Raw genomic sequence first — 16,650 nt, forward strand, 5'->3', positions numbered from 1 at the left:
CTACGCACTCTACTTGGTACTGAAAATAGCTTTAGAGGACAGGGAGCATGCACTATTTCAAAAATAGTTTTTTTGGTTTTTTTTGAAAAATTTTTTTTTTTGTCCTTACTTTTTCCTTTAAGAAGTATCCATTGAGATGATCTGAAAGTTGGGTAAAATTTTTCCAGGTAATTATGAATAAAAGAGGAGAAAGCCATTCCATTAAGATGGAAAAGTTTATGGATACCGTGAGATGGGAGGAAAGGCTGGGTACTTGAAAGAAGGACAGAATACACTGAACTGAGAATGGGCCATTGGGCAGAGTAGGCCACAGGGCCTTAGATGAGACCATGGGACCTGGAAACAAGCCTGCAATGTAATGTTAGATACAGATAACTAAACAGACAATAAACAATGTGATGGGATGGTCAAAACAAAAGGAATCTGACACAGGTTCTAGGATGAGTGGACAAGCTGTTGGCAGTGGGATGGTCCAGGGTTGGGGGAGGCAGTGTTCAGGTGATCAGATAAGAGGAGAAAGGTGTCTGGGCAGAGTGTGATCATGTGAAACCCCCACAAATTGGGAGGGCTGTGGTTGAGAATGAAAGTTTTGTACTGTATATGGTCGAGCATGGTGTACAGTAAGTCCTCAGAAAATACCTTTTGTTCGACATTGTTTCATAGTAATGTTGATGAGACTAAAAAATGTCGAATCTGAGCCAGGGTCACCGTCTGTGCAGTTGGTGTGTTCTCCCCAGATTGGCGTGGGTTTTCCCCAAGTCTTCTGGTTTCCTCCTTCATCCCAAAGCTGTGCACATTAGGTGAATCGGTGTGTCTAAACGGTCCTGGTGTGAGTGGGTGTGGATGTGGGTGTGAGTATGCCCTACAATGGAACAGTGCCCTGTCTGGGGCGGGTTCCCGCCTTTCACCCTGAGCTGCGGGCAGGCTCCGGCTATCCACAACCCTGAACTGAAATGATTGGGTAAATAGTTACTTTATTTACATTTATTCATCTCTCTTAAATGTACATACAACTCACATGTATTTCAATGTCTAATGTAAGAAGTGTTTTGATCTTTATTTTGAAGTTTTGTGATGTTCTTGTGACCAGAAATCTGCTCCAGGAACTTACATCTTGTTTATATCAAGTAGCGTATGGTAAAACTGGTTTCATTAGATGGCATTTTGAATAAAGCTGCAGTTTCCAAGAACCTATTGATGATGTTAAGTGAGGACTTACTCTACCAGGTGGGGCAGTGGCTCTAATAAAAGCTGGAAAAACAAAGACCATCCCATGAAGAGCCTGTGAGACACAAGGTTAGTGCAAGTTTATAACTAGAATTACCTTATGCTGCTCAGCAAACACAAGGAGTACTCTGTGATGAGGCTGGAGAATTCAATTTAAGGTGTAGTGATACCCCGGATACATTCATGCGTACCTTTAATATTCCCTATCGTTAAGAAGACTCATATAATTTTGAAAGAAAATGAGACGATAATTAAACTATCAAAAGGCTACAACACAGCATCTTGCACTTCTGAAGAAATACCATTTGCAAAACAACAACAACAAAAACTCCTTTTTGCACAATTGAAGAAGCAGTTATCCTATATTTCACCCCTTCTGTCAGACCCCACGGGTATACAGGACATATGCTTTCTATCTGGTTTCAAACATGTGCTTAGATGGCAGGCATCACTTGGGGCAAGAGGAAAAATGAATTTCAAACAACACAAAAAAATGGAATAAATATCATGCTTAAAAACTGAATTTCTCCATCTGCCTCATCATATGCAGCAAAAAACTAAAGGATCCTACCACTCTTCACAGAAACATTCCTTAAAGATGTTCATTGAGAATTTTTGAACATTGATTATGTTATTTGGCTATTTATGACTGGGAAAAATATTATTAAAAGTGAGAAAATGGGAATGTTTTTAGTTATAAATTCAATTAACAAGGTGGTGGGGCTAAATGTGTTCTTTACACATGATTTATTGTATCCAAGGACCTTATGTCTGTCAAGAGTTTCAGTAGCAGCTTCCATATGGGAGGGATGTCTTGCTATGGTGTATGAAACATGAAAAGAGTCTGACAAGTTGGAAGATATATATACACACACACACATAAATATATATATGTATGAATGCATATACATATATGCCAGAAATAGATATTCATTTAAGACATTTCATTAAATCAATGTGAAGTAATTCACAGCGCAAAAAACAAATTTAGAAATATAAGAAAAAATAAACTTTAGAACATACAACCACTAAGAATGCAGTGAAATCTATGAGAAGAAATATTAACTGAGTATGACGCCCTTAATAATTGCAATGTGAGTTAGCTTTCTTGAAGTGGAAGGGGATCCATGAATTTTGACATCGGGGAAACACAGAAGAGGGGGAACATTCTATTCCTTGAAAATTCTAGAGGAAAACAGAAATATGGAACTTACTTTTTTACAAACCACTTAAACTGGTTTCTTATAGACCAGGCACTGTTCTAACTTTCAGAAATAGTGTATGCAAATATGAACTACATAATCCTTATAAACAACCCTATTAGATGCACACGATTCTTGGACCAATATTATTTCATGTTGTAGGTGAAAGAAATGGGAAATGGAGAGGTTAAGTAACTTGTCACTACTGATAAATGGCTAAGCTGAATTGGAAACTAGGCCATTCAACATGAATCCTGTGCTTGGCACTTCTACAGTTTGGTGACATATCCAACACAGCTAAGCACTGCAACCTAAACTGTCCAGGCAACCCTAAAAGGCCCAAAGGAGTCAATGCTACTTTGTTAGTAACATGGTGAATTACCCATTTAATCCTAATTTTGATGACATAAAAATTAAGAATTTTGTTGGAGGGGTTCTAAGTTTACATGTTCTAGGGAAAATGTTGCAACATAATGTAGATGGATTTTGATCTATGTCACTTTGTTATAATCTCTCCTTGGTCATTTGAAATGTGTATGACAAATTGTTTTTGTGAATTTGGAACTAGGAACCATAAGTATGTCTTTGCTTTAAAATAGCACAAAAATTCCAAATAAATCTTTCTCAGCAATTCCTTTCAAGCTTCTGCCTTGATCTTGAAAATTAATTCTGTCTTTATTTTGTTTTCGTAGCTCTCATCAAAATTTTTGCTCAGCAATCCATCAACACTGCTGTTGTCAACATAAACAATGGAATCCACGTTGTGATTCCAATCATCTGTGCTCAGTCTTGATCTTTTAAGATTCATCAGCAGCAATTGACCCAGTTGAAAGGCTTCCTTCATTTAATTTCAGAACACCACACTTCTTGTCTTCACCCTACACTGACCACTTCTTTTGCTCTTTTTATTTTTCTTCATTCCTCTGATGTTTTTCACTCCCATGCCCCCGAGCCTAGTTCTTGGATATCTATTCTCGTCTGAACTTGTTGCATTAGTAATCAAATCCTGGGTCAAGTTGAGTAAAATCATTCTATTGTGCCTGGGTCTGACTCCCAATTCTGCCACTTACCAGCTGTGTGATCTTGGAAAATATTACCTTAGACTTTTAGCGTCATTTTCTCATCTGCTAAATGAACATAATGTTAATAGTGCCTTTCTCATACAATTCTTATGAGGATTAATTAAACAACATAACACATACTAAAATCATAGAATAACGCCTGACATAGAAAGTGTGATGTGTTTGTTTAAATAAACAAATCTTAGTCAATATCATATAACATATCTACTAGGATGAACTCACCCCTGAATTTTGTATGAATATATCAAATTTCCTAGTCAACATTTCTCCTTTGTTGGCTAAAGGCAGCTCAGACTTCATTTGTTCAGTTACTGGCAAAGCTATATTCCCATTGCTCAGGCCAGATACCATGAATTCACCTTGGATCTTTCTCATTTCCTCACACTGCATATATAATACATCACCAATCATCTTGTCTCAACCTTCCTTCCTTTGCTCACCCGTTATTCTGCTGTATCTCTGTTCCCACCTAGTATCATTGCTCACCAGGTTGTTGTACTTGCCTAAAAAGGAGCTTCCTAATTCCACCCCTGGGCCTCTATAGTGCACTATCAACACATCAGCCAGAGAAGTCCTCTGAAAAGATAAAACCATCAAGGTCCTTCCAATGCCCTCAAGGCCCCACTGCCTGTCGAATCTCTTTTTTTTTTTTTTTTTTTTTTGAGATGTAATCTGGCTCTGTCACCTAGGCTGGAATGCAGTGGTGTGATCTCGGCTCACTGCAACCTCAGCCTCCGAGGTTCAAGCAATTCTCCTGCCTCAGCCTCCTAAGTGGCTGGAATTACAGACATGTGCGTCCACACCGGGATAATTTTTGTATTTTTAGTAGAGACGGGGTTTCACCATGTTGGCTGGGCTGGTCTCAAACTCCTGACCTCAAGTGATCCGCCCAACTCAGTCTCCCAAAGTGCTGGGATTACAGGGATGAGCCAGCGTGAGCCACCGTGCCCAGCTGAACCTCTTCTATAATCTTTCTCCACTCTCTACAAGTTTCCATCACACTGGCCTTCTTGTTGGTTTTTGAATAGCTCTTACCTTAGCGACTTGAAATTTGTGATTTAATTTGGAAAGCTCTTCTTCAGACACTTTCAAGCTTTGCTCCCATATCTATTCCAAGTCATTTCAAATGTTATTTTATCAGGAAGATATTCTTGAAACATATTTTCAGAATTTGCAAACTACCATTTCCCCTTCTCTGTACAACACAGAAACTTCCTGGCACTCTTCCCAGCTAATTTTCTGCATAGCATTTATCATTTTCTATAAACTTATTTATACATAATTTAAATATTATATAATTTAATAACTTGTTTGTATTCTCCTCACTAGAATGTAAACACCAACATGGTTAACAACATTTAATGATTTTTTAATAAATTTATCCACAACCCAGAGAAGAATCCTTGACACAAAATAATATAGAGACAATTTTCAACACCATATTTGAGTAAATTAATCCACGAGTCTATAATCCATCCCCCTACTGATATTTTATATAAACTAGGGATAAAATTATTAAGGAGAAAAAATGAAAGGGGCAAAGTGAATTCTTATTTTTCTCTCTGTCACCCAGAATATGTCACCCAAATATGTCTGTTTACAAACATATTTGAAATACAAAAGCATTTAAGAATGCCAAAAATATACATATGATATATAATATTATTTCTCAAATCTAGTCTGCCAATGTTTAAGTCTTTTTTAGTTGTAGTTTTAATTGACACGTAATAATTGTATAAGTTTACAGGGTATAATATGATGGTGAGACACATGCATGCATTATATAATGATTAAATCAAACTAATTATTTTCATTTAATAATTATTACTAAAAATAATTTATATAATTTATATAAGTAGACATAGATACAAATAGTGTGCTCTTCTTTTTCTTTTTCTGTTTCTTTTTTTTTTTTTTTTTTTTGTGACGTAGTCTTGCCCTGACACCCAGACTGGAGTGAAGTGGCATGATCTTGGCTCACTGCAACCTCTGTCTCCCCCGTTCAAGTGATTCTCCTGCCTCAGCCTCTCAAGTACCGGGGATTACAGGCACCTGCTACCATACCCGGCTAATTTTTTTTTTTTTTGGATTTTTAGTAGGGACAGGGTTTCACCATTTTGGCCAGTGCTGGTTTTGAACTCCTGACCTCAAGTGATCCGCCTGTCTTGGCCTCCCAAAGTGCTAGGATTATAGGCATGACCCACCGTGCTCAGCCCAGTGTGATCTTCTTAAAAGGTAGTTTTACTATTTTTAGCAGATTCTGAAATATCCACGAATGTGTGGTTAAATGACAAAGGTTATTATGTAGTCAAGAAAAGTGATTTATTCTACTTTTAGTTCAAAGATAAAATGTACATTTCCCCATATATTTATCTTAGTAATCAGTCTTAGTTTACATGGCAGAAAAGTCTAGCTGGGTACCTAAAGTTCTGTATCTACCTTCTCTAGAATGGTTCCTGGGGAATGCAGCACAGTCTTGTTAGAAAACAGGTCAAGAAAAACGAAGTGCAATGCTATACAATGTAACAAAGTTGATATACTTTGAAATCATTATATGAGCTTGTGTCAAAGAATACATACTTAATCCCCATTCCAGAGGAAGAAAAAGTGGTAGCAGAAAAAGATATTTGAACTAGAGGAGCATATTATTGCCTGCTAAATGGAAAAGATGGTTATTCGTCCCTAGTATGGGGTGTAGAATAGGGTATACCCAGTGTAGAAGTAGCCCAAATTACAGTATCTGGCATGTTATTCTGGCTGTTTTCAAAGATAAGGCAGTGTGACTTTCTCAAAAGTCAGATGAAATCATTTAAAAATATGAACGAAAATATATTCCAATGCCAAATATATATAAAAAATTATCTGCCACACTGGCCACACTACAGTTCTCCTTAACTAAAATAGATAATTATGTACTGACTACCTAAAAATAATCATTGCCAGGGGATATTTATATTAAACTGCAGAATCAGAAACTGAATCTGTTTGTATCTCCTTAACAGGCTCATGATCGTCCTTGAATAACTGATTTTTTTTATTTCCTGCACTGTCTTGGCATTCTTATAAAATTGGCAAATTTAGTTGTATCATGAACCTGATTTAAAAGAATACTGGGGAAATTAACAGATTAGCCTTTTTCAAAAGCTTTAAAATTTGATTAAAGTTTCTATCTTCAACACAAAATGAAACTTGCCTCACTGTGTATGAATTACTCATTTGAATCCAAAGACCTTTGATTAGGATAATTTTTCAAATATAAACAATTAGTAACAGACCATTTATTTACTAAATGTTATAGGAGAGAGCCAGCTGTCTCTATTTCCCTTCCTTGATTATTTGAAGTTAGAATTTTCTCATGACATTTAGCCATTTATAAATGTTCAGTTAAACATGACAGTTGTTATGGATTGGATATTTGTAAGGTCATTTTTCATAGACTGCCCCAGAAGAAACATATTTCAATCAAAGCAAATGATAAGCATTTCCATATAATTTGACTCCACTTTTACTATGGCCCAGAAACATATCTTATCACTTCCTCAATTTAATTTGATATGGAAAGGGCCTCTTTTTAATCAACTTTAAAATTATGTTCTGTTGACTTGCAAATGACAGGTCAATGCTAATTGAGAGAGGCCTTAAAAACTCTGACATCTTTGATTGCTGCACAAAGATTCCATGCTCAGTATGTTCTGATACTTGGCTTTTCCATATTCCCTTACGAGGTTAAGAAGATGAATGCTCATTGGTTTTAATCCTTACCATGATTTATGAGCCTCTTGGTATCCTTTCCCCAGAGCATCTACAACTGTGTGGTTGTTCTGCCTGCTGCTTAAATTACACAGACATCTGCAAACTAAATTATGGATTGTTGTCCCATAGACCATAACCAAGAATTCTCTTCATCACTCCTGCAGTATAATTTTTTTTTTCTGATTAGGACAAAAAACATGTATGTATTTCCTTGCTTCTGTACTAAGGGCATTTTAAGCTAATTTGAATGATAGCACAATAACCTGCATTGTGACCTATCACAAAAAATCAAAGCAGCATGAAATATAACAAGGTAGCTTTAAAGGCAGAAAGAAAAAAAAAAGATCCTCTATTTATTTATATCTTTCATCTTTATTTAAGGCATTGAATATTTAGACTCACAGAAGGAAAGTGACCTTTAAGATTAACTGAAAATATGCACCATGGAATAAAATGCATGTAAATGACCTTTGTGTCTCTTGAGTGTGATTTTAAGAGCATCGTGTGATCTGATCTATGACTATTTAAATTAAACACAAAGCAAAGAAATAGAAAATTACATAAAGGATAATTCATGGAAGACTGGGATACCTTTTTTAATGTACTCTTTTCTGCTGGTCTCACTTGTAGTAAACCTGTTTTAATAATCTGAAGGCTTGAAGCAATCATGAGTAATTGGAATAACTCTTTCGTCTGAATTAAAAGTCTGGTAGAGTCTACTTTGGAATAATCAACTGTTTCTGTATTTTTCCTTTCTTTTCTCTCCTTGTTATTCTGTGTAGATGATGAATCATAATTCCCAATGACAAGTCCATTGTGAAATCCTAACAGGCGTGTCTCAAATTATTAACCTTTGACAATTACCAAAATTAGAAATATCCCTGCATTTATCTTCTTCAGATGTGCTAATTGCAACTCTAACAATAACCTGCCAGGGAATATCACATGAACAAAATTTACCAAATGATTTTTAGTTATGCCTTACAAAGTATATTAAAAAAAAAAAAAAACAGATGGCTCTGCAATTCATTTTTTGAACCCTATTGTCAACTCAGCAGGACACAGTGAACACTAAAGAAAGACTCAAATCCACTCCTGGCTGAGCAGATCTGCTGTTCCCTCCATGTTTCCATCAGTTTCTGTTTCACCTCATCACTGCTGAAAGGCAATGTTTTCTGAGTGTCAGGACCTGATATTCATACCAATGCCCTAAAGACTTGCTTTTTAAAAGGCAGATCCTAGATTTGTTTGCCTCTGTGTCAGTGAAAAGCTCACTTCCAAAACTTTCCATTTGTCGACACTCTTTGCATCCTCATCTTCATAAAATAAAGGATTAGTGGAATCTTGATAGTTGATATGGTTTGGCTTGTGTCCCCATCCAAATTTCATCTTGAGTTGTAGTTCCTATAACTCCCACATGTTGTAGGAGGCACCCAGTGGGAGGTAATTGAATCATGGGGTGGGTCTTTCCCATGCTGTTGTTATGATAATGAATAAGTCTCATGAGATCTGGTGGTTTTATAAAGGGATATTCCCCTGAATATACTCTCTTGCCTGCTGCCATGTAAGATGTGCCTTTGCTCCTCCTTTGCCTTTCACCATGATGGTGCAGCCTCCCCAGCCATGTGGAACTGTGAGTCCATTAAACCTCTTTTTCTTTATAAACTACCCAGTCTCAGGTACGTCTTTATTAGCAGCGTGAGAACACACTAATACATTAGTTAAAACCCTAAACTATTTAAACATATCTTGAAATAAATTATTTTTGAATAATTATTTAATTTCCTAAGAAATTATACAGGATAGATGGAAATAGAATTAAATTGGTGCTCCCAAAAGATCTGATATATATATAATCTCCCAGTCTATTGCCAGCAGTCATCTTTACACACACACACACGCACACACAGACACACACACACAAAACCTCCACATCAGGTTATTCTTCTACATTCAAAAGCAAACCGACTAAAACAACAAAACACAGCTCCACATCCTATAAAAGATAAAGCCCCAATCCCAGACATATTTTTCATTTCATTAAAGTTTCTTCATCATCTAAGCCTATTCTTCTGGATTTATCTGCCAGCTATTCCCATATTTGACACACATTTCATTCTCTAACTCCTCAAATGGTTTTAAATTCACCACATATGAAATGATATCATATATCTTTGTGCCTTTTATACATCTATATCCTCTTCTTTACATATTTTTATCTATTTCTCTTTATAGTCTAGTTCAAATGTCCTTTGGCTGCATTTTTCCTACTCTTTCCAACTACTACAGGAAGAAAAAAAATGCCAACTTCAACCATATTTTTCATACTGGAACAAGAAGGTATTCTATAAATGATCAAAGAATGCTCATCTAACCATATGAAAGAAGAAAGATTTATTTCCTTTCTCTTTCCCTTTACTTTTTTGCATGATTTATAATAAATTCATACAATTACTTAAGTAAACATGAATATAAGTGAGAAATGAATAGAATGAGAGTAAGTTTTGCAAAATGTTAAAGAAATAATACACTGCCCTATGTGATTGTTGAAAAAGAAAATTATAAAAGGGGGTGGTAACATCATAAACAGGCTCCACAGCATTACTCTATTAAAAGTTAAATTGATAAAAGAAAACTGTCTTTCTTAATAAAGAAATGTTAATAATCAGTTAGTATGGCTTGAAATCTATATATTCATTGTTCTTGATTATCACTCTCTATTTTGTTATAGCATTCCACTGAGATTATTCTCAGCTGTATTTGCTTATGTGGCATTTATGAAAATCCTCATATTAAAAAGAAAATAATTTCAAGCCATTCTCCTCAAATGCATTCTGCATCAATATGAATTCCACTCTAATTAAAAACAAATGAACATGCCAATTTCTTTAAATTAATCCTTTCTCAAATTATTATCTTTAAAGTAGTTGTATGTTAAATAAATATCAAACTATTTTTATTTCTTCTTATCGTTGTACATAGCACAGAGTGAACCAAAGGACATTTGGGAGGAGTATGAGTCTCTTCTCATTTATCTGGGCCTTTGGATGTTTTAATGCTCTGTTATGCTTTAAAGAAAAGGAGAGAAAGTGCTGCATTTATCATTGGAATGGCTTAGTATCAATTATTCATTATTCATATTTGCATCACAGATAATACTGAGGTTGATATAATCATGGATATTTAAGAATATGGAGTTGCCTTTTATAGGAATTAAATTCAAAGTGTTCACTTCTCTTATTCTATAAATAAAAGATCTGGACTGAAACCCCAAACCAAAATTATCCAAGATCAGAGATTTAGAAATTAATTAAAATTTTCTACAAAAAATGCAAAAATTTCACAAAGAAAAGGTAAGCAATTTTCTACATAGAAATTTTGAATATTGATGAGAACAAATTACTAGATAAAAGAGATGACCATGGGGGGAGAGGAATTATTAATAGTTGAGATATTAAATGGTTCATTCTATTTCAATCTTACCATCTTACATTGTTAATCTAAAATTTGTATTTTTTTCCTCAAATCTGATAGCTGAAATTAATTGATAATGTTTTAAAACTACACTAAAGCCTAACCTTTACTGAATAAGCTAATCTCATAAAAGGATAATGAGAAAGAAAAAGAAAAGGCTTCATCTTTCTACTTCAGAAATATGGGCATGCACAGAGAGTTTGAAAACCATCACAGGAAGATTCATAAAGCCACATTAGTTTAATTACACATCTGCCTTATCTCTTCAACCTTGTCTTTCTGAGTTGTTATATCAATGGTTAATCTTAACTGATCTCTGATTAGAACTGAGAATATAAAGCTTGTTTTGACTACAGCCTAAGTAAGGGTAGATTCTCCCATTACCAAGCGGGGAGTGTCAAAGCAGCACTTTAATTACTATGTCTGTGAAGGTTAACTGTAACTGTCTAAATCTCAGTGTTTAGATTCCTACCATCAGCAAAGGAAAAGCAGATTACAATTGCCAGCGCAAGAAACAATTGAACCAGTTTGTGCCATATCAATATTCGTAAAGAAGAGAAAATTTATGACTTTATCTCTGTTTCCTATGTGAGAGTTTCAACAGAGGTTTCCCTTTGAAATGAGACGTATCCAATTTAACAAAAATAATACCCGCTAATTATGAGGGACTAGACAAAGCATCATAAAAAAACAGAATAAAAAAGGCAGAAATCACTTTCTGTTTTTAGGAGGAACATAGTCATTAGATCCTCTCAAATTGGCATGTAAAATGAAACTGTGAGGAAAAATAAAACAAAGAAGCTAAAAAATAAATAATTATAAAAATAAAGAATCCTATATTCTAAAAAATGTAGAAATAACTGGTTACTTCAAGTTTCATGATTTTGTTGTGTTTATGTCAACTCCTTGTAAATATACAAATATTTGAATATTTTGATTTCTAATAAATTTTTTTAAGTAAAGAAGTTTTAAATAGGATTTGCATTTTCAGGTATTAATTAAGAAGGTAAAAGCATATATCTTGATAAGATTTTTTTTACCTACCTTTAAAAAGGCTGGCATTCTTTAAAACTCCCAACTGCTCCTGGGTTCCAGCTTGTCTATATTTCCCAAAAGAGCCAAGCTGTTAGGTAACAAAGCTGGAAAGACAAACATATACAGTCAGAATGTTAACTATCTTTTCTAATAAACATTTATTTTAGAATATTTTTACATTTTCTTAAAAGTTGCAAAGATGGTATAGAGAGTTCCTGTATACCTCACACCTGATTATCACTATTGCTAATATCTTACATTATAAGTGCATTTCTCAATGTACTTTTGATGTATGTACAATGTACTTACAATGCTGCTTTTGATACATTGTGATATATAGTGATACATTGTGATAGATGGATCCAAATGAACCAATATTGATACATTATTGAGTTCACTAGTTTTTCTCCTAATGTCATTTTCTATTCCAGGATATCACATTGCCTTGTCATTATGTCCCCTTGGCCTCCTCATGGCAGTGATAGTTTCTTAGACTTTCCTTGTTTTTGATGACCTTGAACGTTTTGAAAAGCAATGGTCAGACATTTATAAAATGTCCTTCAGTTGCAATTTGGCTGATGTATTTCTCATGATTAGACTGGGGTTATGGTTTTTTGGGAGGAGGACCATAAAGTATCATTTTTGTCACTTCATATCAAGGGTATGTGTGTCATCAGTATGACTTATTACTGTTGACACAGATCTTGATCAGCTGACTGGAGTACTTATTACTGTTGAGACAGATCTTGGTCAGCCGACTGGAGTCCTTATTGCTGTTGATGCAGATCTTGATCAGCTGACTGGGGTACTTATTTCTGTTTACACAGATTTTGATCAGCTGACTGGGGTACTGTTTGCCACCGTTTCGTACTATAAAGTTCCTTTTGTTCCTCCTTTCCATACTGTACTGTTTGAAAGCAAGTCAATAAAAGCAGCCCACAGTCAAGGGATACAGAGTTAAGCTCCATTTGCTGGAGGGGAAAATGACACAAATTATTTGAAATTTTCTGAGAGAAATTTACCTATTCTCCCCATTTGTTTGTTTCCTTGTTTGTGTATTCATTTATTCATTCAGTAATTTATATGTATCAGTGTAATCTCATGGATATTTATTTTGTATTTCATGTTATAATACAATACTACACTGTTTATTTTGTTGGTCTAATTGTTTTAGCTTTGGACTTCGTGAGCTCTTTCAATTAGCCTCTATGTCTTTTTTGACATACCATATTGGTTGGTTTAGTGAGTACTTCCTTAAGTCCTGGCATGATAAGATAGTCCATGTTAATTTAAAAATGCATACTATAAATGTTATAATCTTCTTGCCTCAGACCTAGACTCAGCCTTTTTTTTTCAAGGATCTCTGGTTCTTTTTATCAGAGAATGGTGAGAAACCAAGATCTGACTACTAGTTATGGTTCCTTGCCACTGGGGTGCCATTACTTCTAAGCCCTCTCAGTGAAGTGAGCTGGGAAATTTATGTATTTATATTAATGTGTATATGCAGACATCCATAATTGTCTCTATATCTATCAATCTGTATCTATAATTAGATAACATTATTTCATACTGATAACTTCAACTCCAGCTTCATATTATTAACTTCAGGCTGATACCTTCAACTTCCTTAATCTATATTAAATAAACAGCATTTTGGGTGCAATAGAGTATATATTAAAACCACATTTTTCATTTCTTTATGAAATGCTCCTCTCTCAGTAATATATCAAGAGTGATTCTTATAAAGATGTCCACACAAGTGGACATGTTTATGATGCCTGATTCTGAAGAATCATTAAGAAAGCCCATGGACATTTATTTTCATTCGTTTCTACTAAAGTTCATTACGCTTGAAAAAGAAAAGCAGCTTTTAATACCGTGTGCATACAACCACAGCTACCTGATGGTTTTTTCACCAAATGCCATAGACTGCAACAATAAAAAGGACTTGAGGAGATATATACTGCTTTATAAGATCTAATATATTTTCTTCTATTGAGGCAACCTATTACTATGACCATGTTTTCATATAATTCATTTTTAAGACAAAAAGTCTGAGTTAGCTCAATTATACCTATGCAAAAAATGTAATTTTTAATGAAATTATAAAATAATTATAATTAATGTACATGTTAATCATTACAGCTAAATAGTAGTCAGAATATATAAATGTTTAACATTTTTATTATAAAAGTTTAGTAGAAAATACAGATAGTAACAAGGTAGACTAATAATCCAGATGGGATAACTTATTTTCTGAAAGTAAAAACACCAACTCATTTTATCATTCTGTTATTCTGATAACTAATAAAGGCTTCCCTGTCAAACAAAATCTTTAGGTTTAAAAAACATTAAAGTGAGACATAAACTTCCAAGAAATTCTAAGCCATTTCATTCCCTTCATCTATATTAGATATTTTGGTTAGAATGTAATAACATCTGTATCAGTTTCCTGTGGCTGTGACAAGTAATTACCATAAATGTAGTAGCTTAAAGCAACAGAAACTTATCCTCTCACAGTTTTGGAGGTCAGAATTCTGAAATCAATAAAAGATTGAGATGAAATCAAGGTGTCACGGTGCTGCCATCCCTTCAGAGGGTCTAGGGGAAAATCCATTTCTCGCCTCTTCCAGCTTCTGGTGACTGCCATCGTGCCTTGCCTTGTGGCCACTTTCAGTATTCAAGGCTAACATCCTCAAATTTCTTCCTCCTCCTTTACATTGCCTTTTCCTCTGTGTATTCAAATCTTCTGCCTCTCATTTTTAAGAATGCATGTGTTTATAATTTGGGCCTATTCAGCTAATACAGGATAATCTCCTCGTTTTAAGATCCTTTATTTAATCACAGCTGCAAAGACCCTTTCTTGTCATATAGGTTAACATTCAAAGGTTCTATGAATTAGAACATGGCTGTCTTTGGGAAGTCATTTTCCAGCCTACCATAGATCATGAGGATTAAGCTCTGAATTTTTTATCTTGCCCAAATTCCTATCTAAGGGGTCTGGAGAGTCATCCCCTACAAACCATCAATTCTCAACAGATGGGTTTTATTTAACCTTGTATATGGTGACTTACTTTGCAACCTGACTCAGGCATCACATTAGGAGACAAGGAAGAAAATCAAAATATTTTACCCCAAAACATGTTTCTTTGCCATATGTTGAACTGGCCCTGCAAAGCTGTCCTTCCTGGTGAACAATTTGCATCTGTAAAGAATTTCTATTAACATAGGTAGATCTTTTTCTTCCAGGCCTTCCCAATCCTAAAGAGGTTAACTAAAAGTCTAGCACCTTTTAAAGATCTGAATAGGAAGCATTTGTCATCTGTTGTCTCTAAGGGCAGCCACTATAAGACCTCAAAAGAACCTTGGTCTCCACAATCTTTGATCTTAACTTGAACATTTCCTTTCTATGAATCCCAGGTCTTTAGACAAACTCAACTAATAGTCAACCAGAAAATGTTTAAATTTACCTACAGCCTGGAAACCACCCCCTCCCGCCCCACAGCTTTGAGTTGTGCCACCTTTCTGGAGCAAACCAATGTATGTCTTACATGTATTTGATTGATGTCTCATGCCTCCCTGAAATGTATAAAACCAAGCTGTACCCCGACAACCTTGGGCACATAGTCTCAGGACTTCCTGAGGGTTGTGTCACAGGCCATGGTCACTCACATTTGGCTCAGAATAAATCTCTTCAAATATTTTACAAATATTTTCATTGATAACCAACTTATAGATCTACTTCCTATCCGCTTCCATAGGGGAGAAAAAAATTACTCTAATAAAACAACTTCCTCATGACTCTATCTCACTACAAGACAGTGTGTATGGCTAAGGCAGCAGAAATATATACACACAATGAAAGGGTGTTTTAAAATATTGTTTAAGACAACCTAGGACAGGCATATAATTAACTTGCTTAGAGAGATGGATAGATGTTACTTAATAATGAAACTCTAATAACTATTTCTTTCCCTTCAGACTAGGACTACTGATAACCTGCAATTATGTGTGACAAGCTGAACAAAACCACAGAACCAGAGTGTCAGACTATGGCTACATAATTTTTAGAAAGAGCTTAATTAAGCAAATCTCATAAAAGTTTTTAAAGGAAATATTTTCTAAAGTCAAAAGCAAACTACATTCATAAAGTGTGATTACTGGTACAGTACACCTTTCAGTGACATTAACTTTCAGGGGACCTTGACAGGAAGAAAAAATAAATCTCAAGCTACTAGCAATAAAGTCAGAGGAGTGGTAACTGATGATCCAGGAAATTTTCACAGAAAAATAAGGGTATGAATGGCTTCCATAAGGCTTCAATTACCAACGTTGTTAATGAAATTCAGGCATCTTGGGTCGCTTGAAGGAAGGAACTAATAATGAGCTGCTTACATGCAACTAGTTTGTAGAATGAGTAGTCCCATCATGGAATGGGAATTAGAAGAAAAAGAAACAAACACAAAAATCTTCTGTCCACTAGTATTGGGAAGCTGCACAAATACCAGCTGTTCAAGACTGGCCATAGATAGAAAGAGGTTAACCTTGAGAAGCAGAGGGCAAGCTTGAGCCTGATGTGTGTAAACTCCAGATTTGCCCAAATATATAATATGGTGGATGCAACCCAGAGTAGTAATATAAAGCATGGTATAGCACTGGAGAATCAGTAGGACCTCAGCAGAGCAAGTACCAAAATATCTTGAAGAGATTCTTTCACAACGTAAGACCCTAGATTCCATAACAAGGAAAAAATTTAAAAAAAAAAATGTGAGAGAACACAATACACCCTCAATGAAACTCAGTGGAGCGATAAAGAGAAAATTTATTTCTTAAGAACTAATAATAATAGAATAATCTGTAATAGACACATAATACAC

At 35.0% G+C, this 16,650-nt stretch overlaps 1 protein-coding gene across 5 annotated transcripts in view; it reads right to left on the reverse strand.

The window, feature by feature from the left end:
- The window catches only part of CDH12 (cadherin 12), a 1,102,672-nt gene that overhangs the window by 742,815 nt on the left and 343,207 nt on the right, over nucleotides 1-16,650 (reverse strand). For all 5 annotated transcript variants that reach the window (NM_001364104.2, NM_004061.5, NM_001364106.2 and 2 more), the window contains one exon: nucleotides 11,783-11,877. The gene's annotated coding sequence lies outside the window, so the exon portion shown is untranslated. The remainder of the gene's footprint in view (nucleotides 1-11,782; nucleotides 11,878-16,650) is intronic.

Source organism: Homo sapiens, chromosome 5 (genome assembly GCF_000001405.40).
Source record: "Homo sapiens chromosome 5, GRCh38.p14 Primary Assembly".
Taxonomy (NCBI): Eukaryota; Metazoa; Chordata; class Mammalia; order Primates; family Hominidae; genus Homo; species Homo sapiens.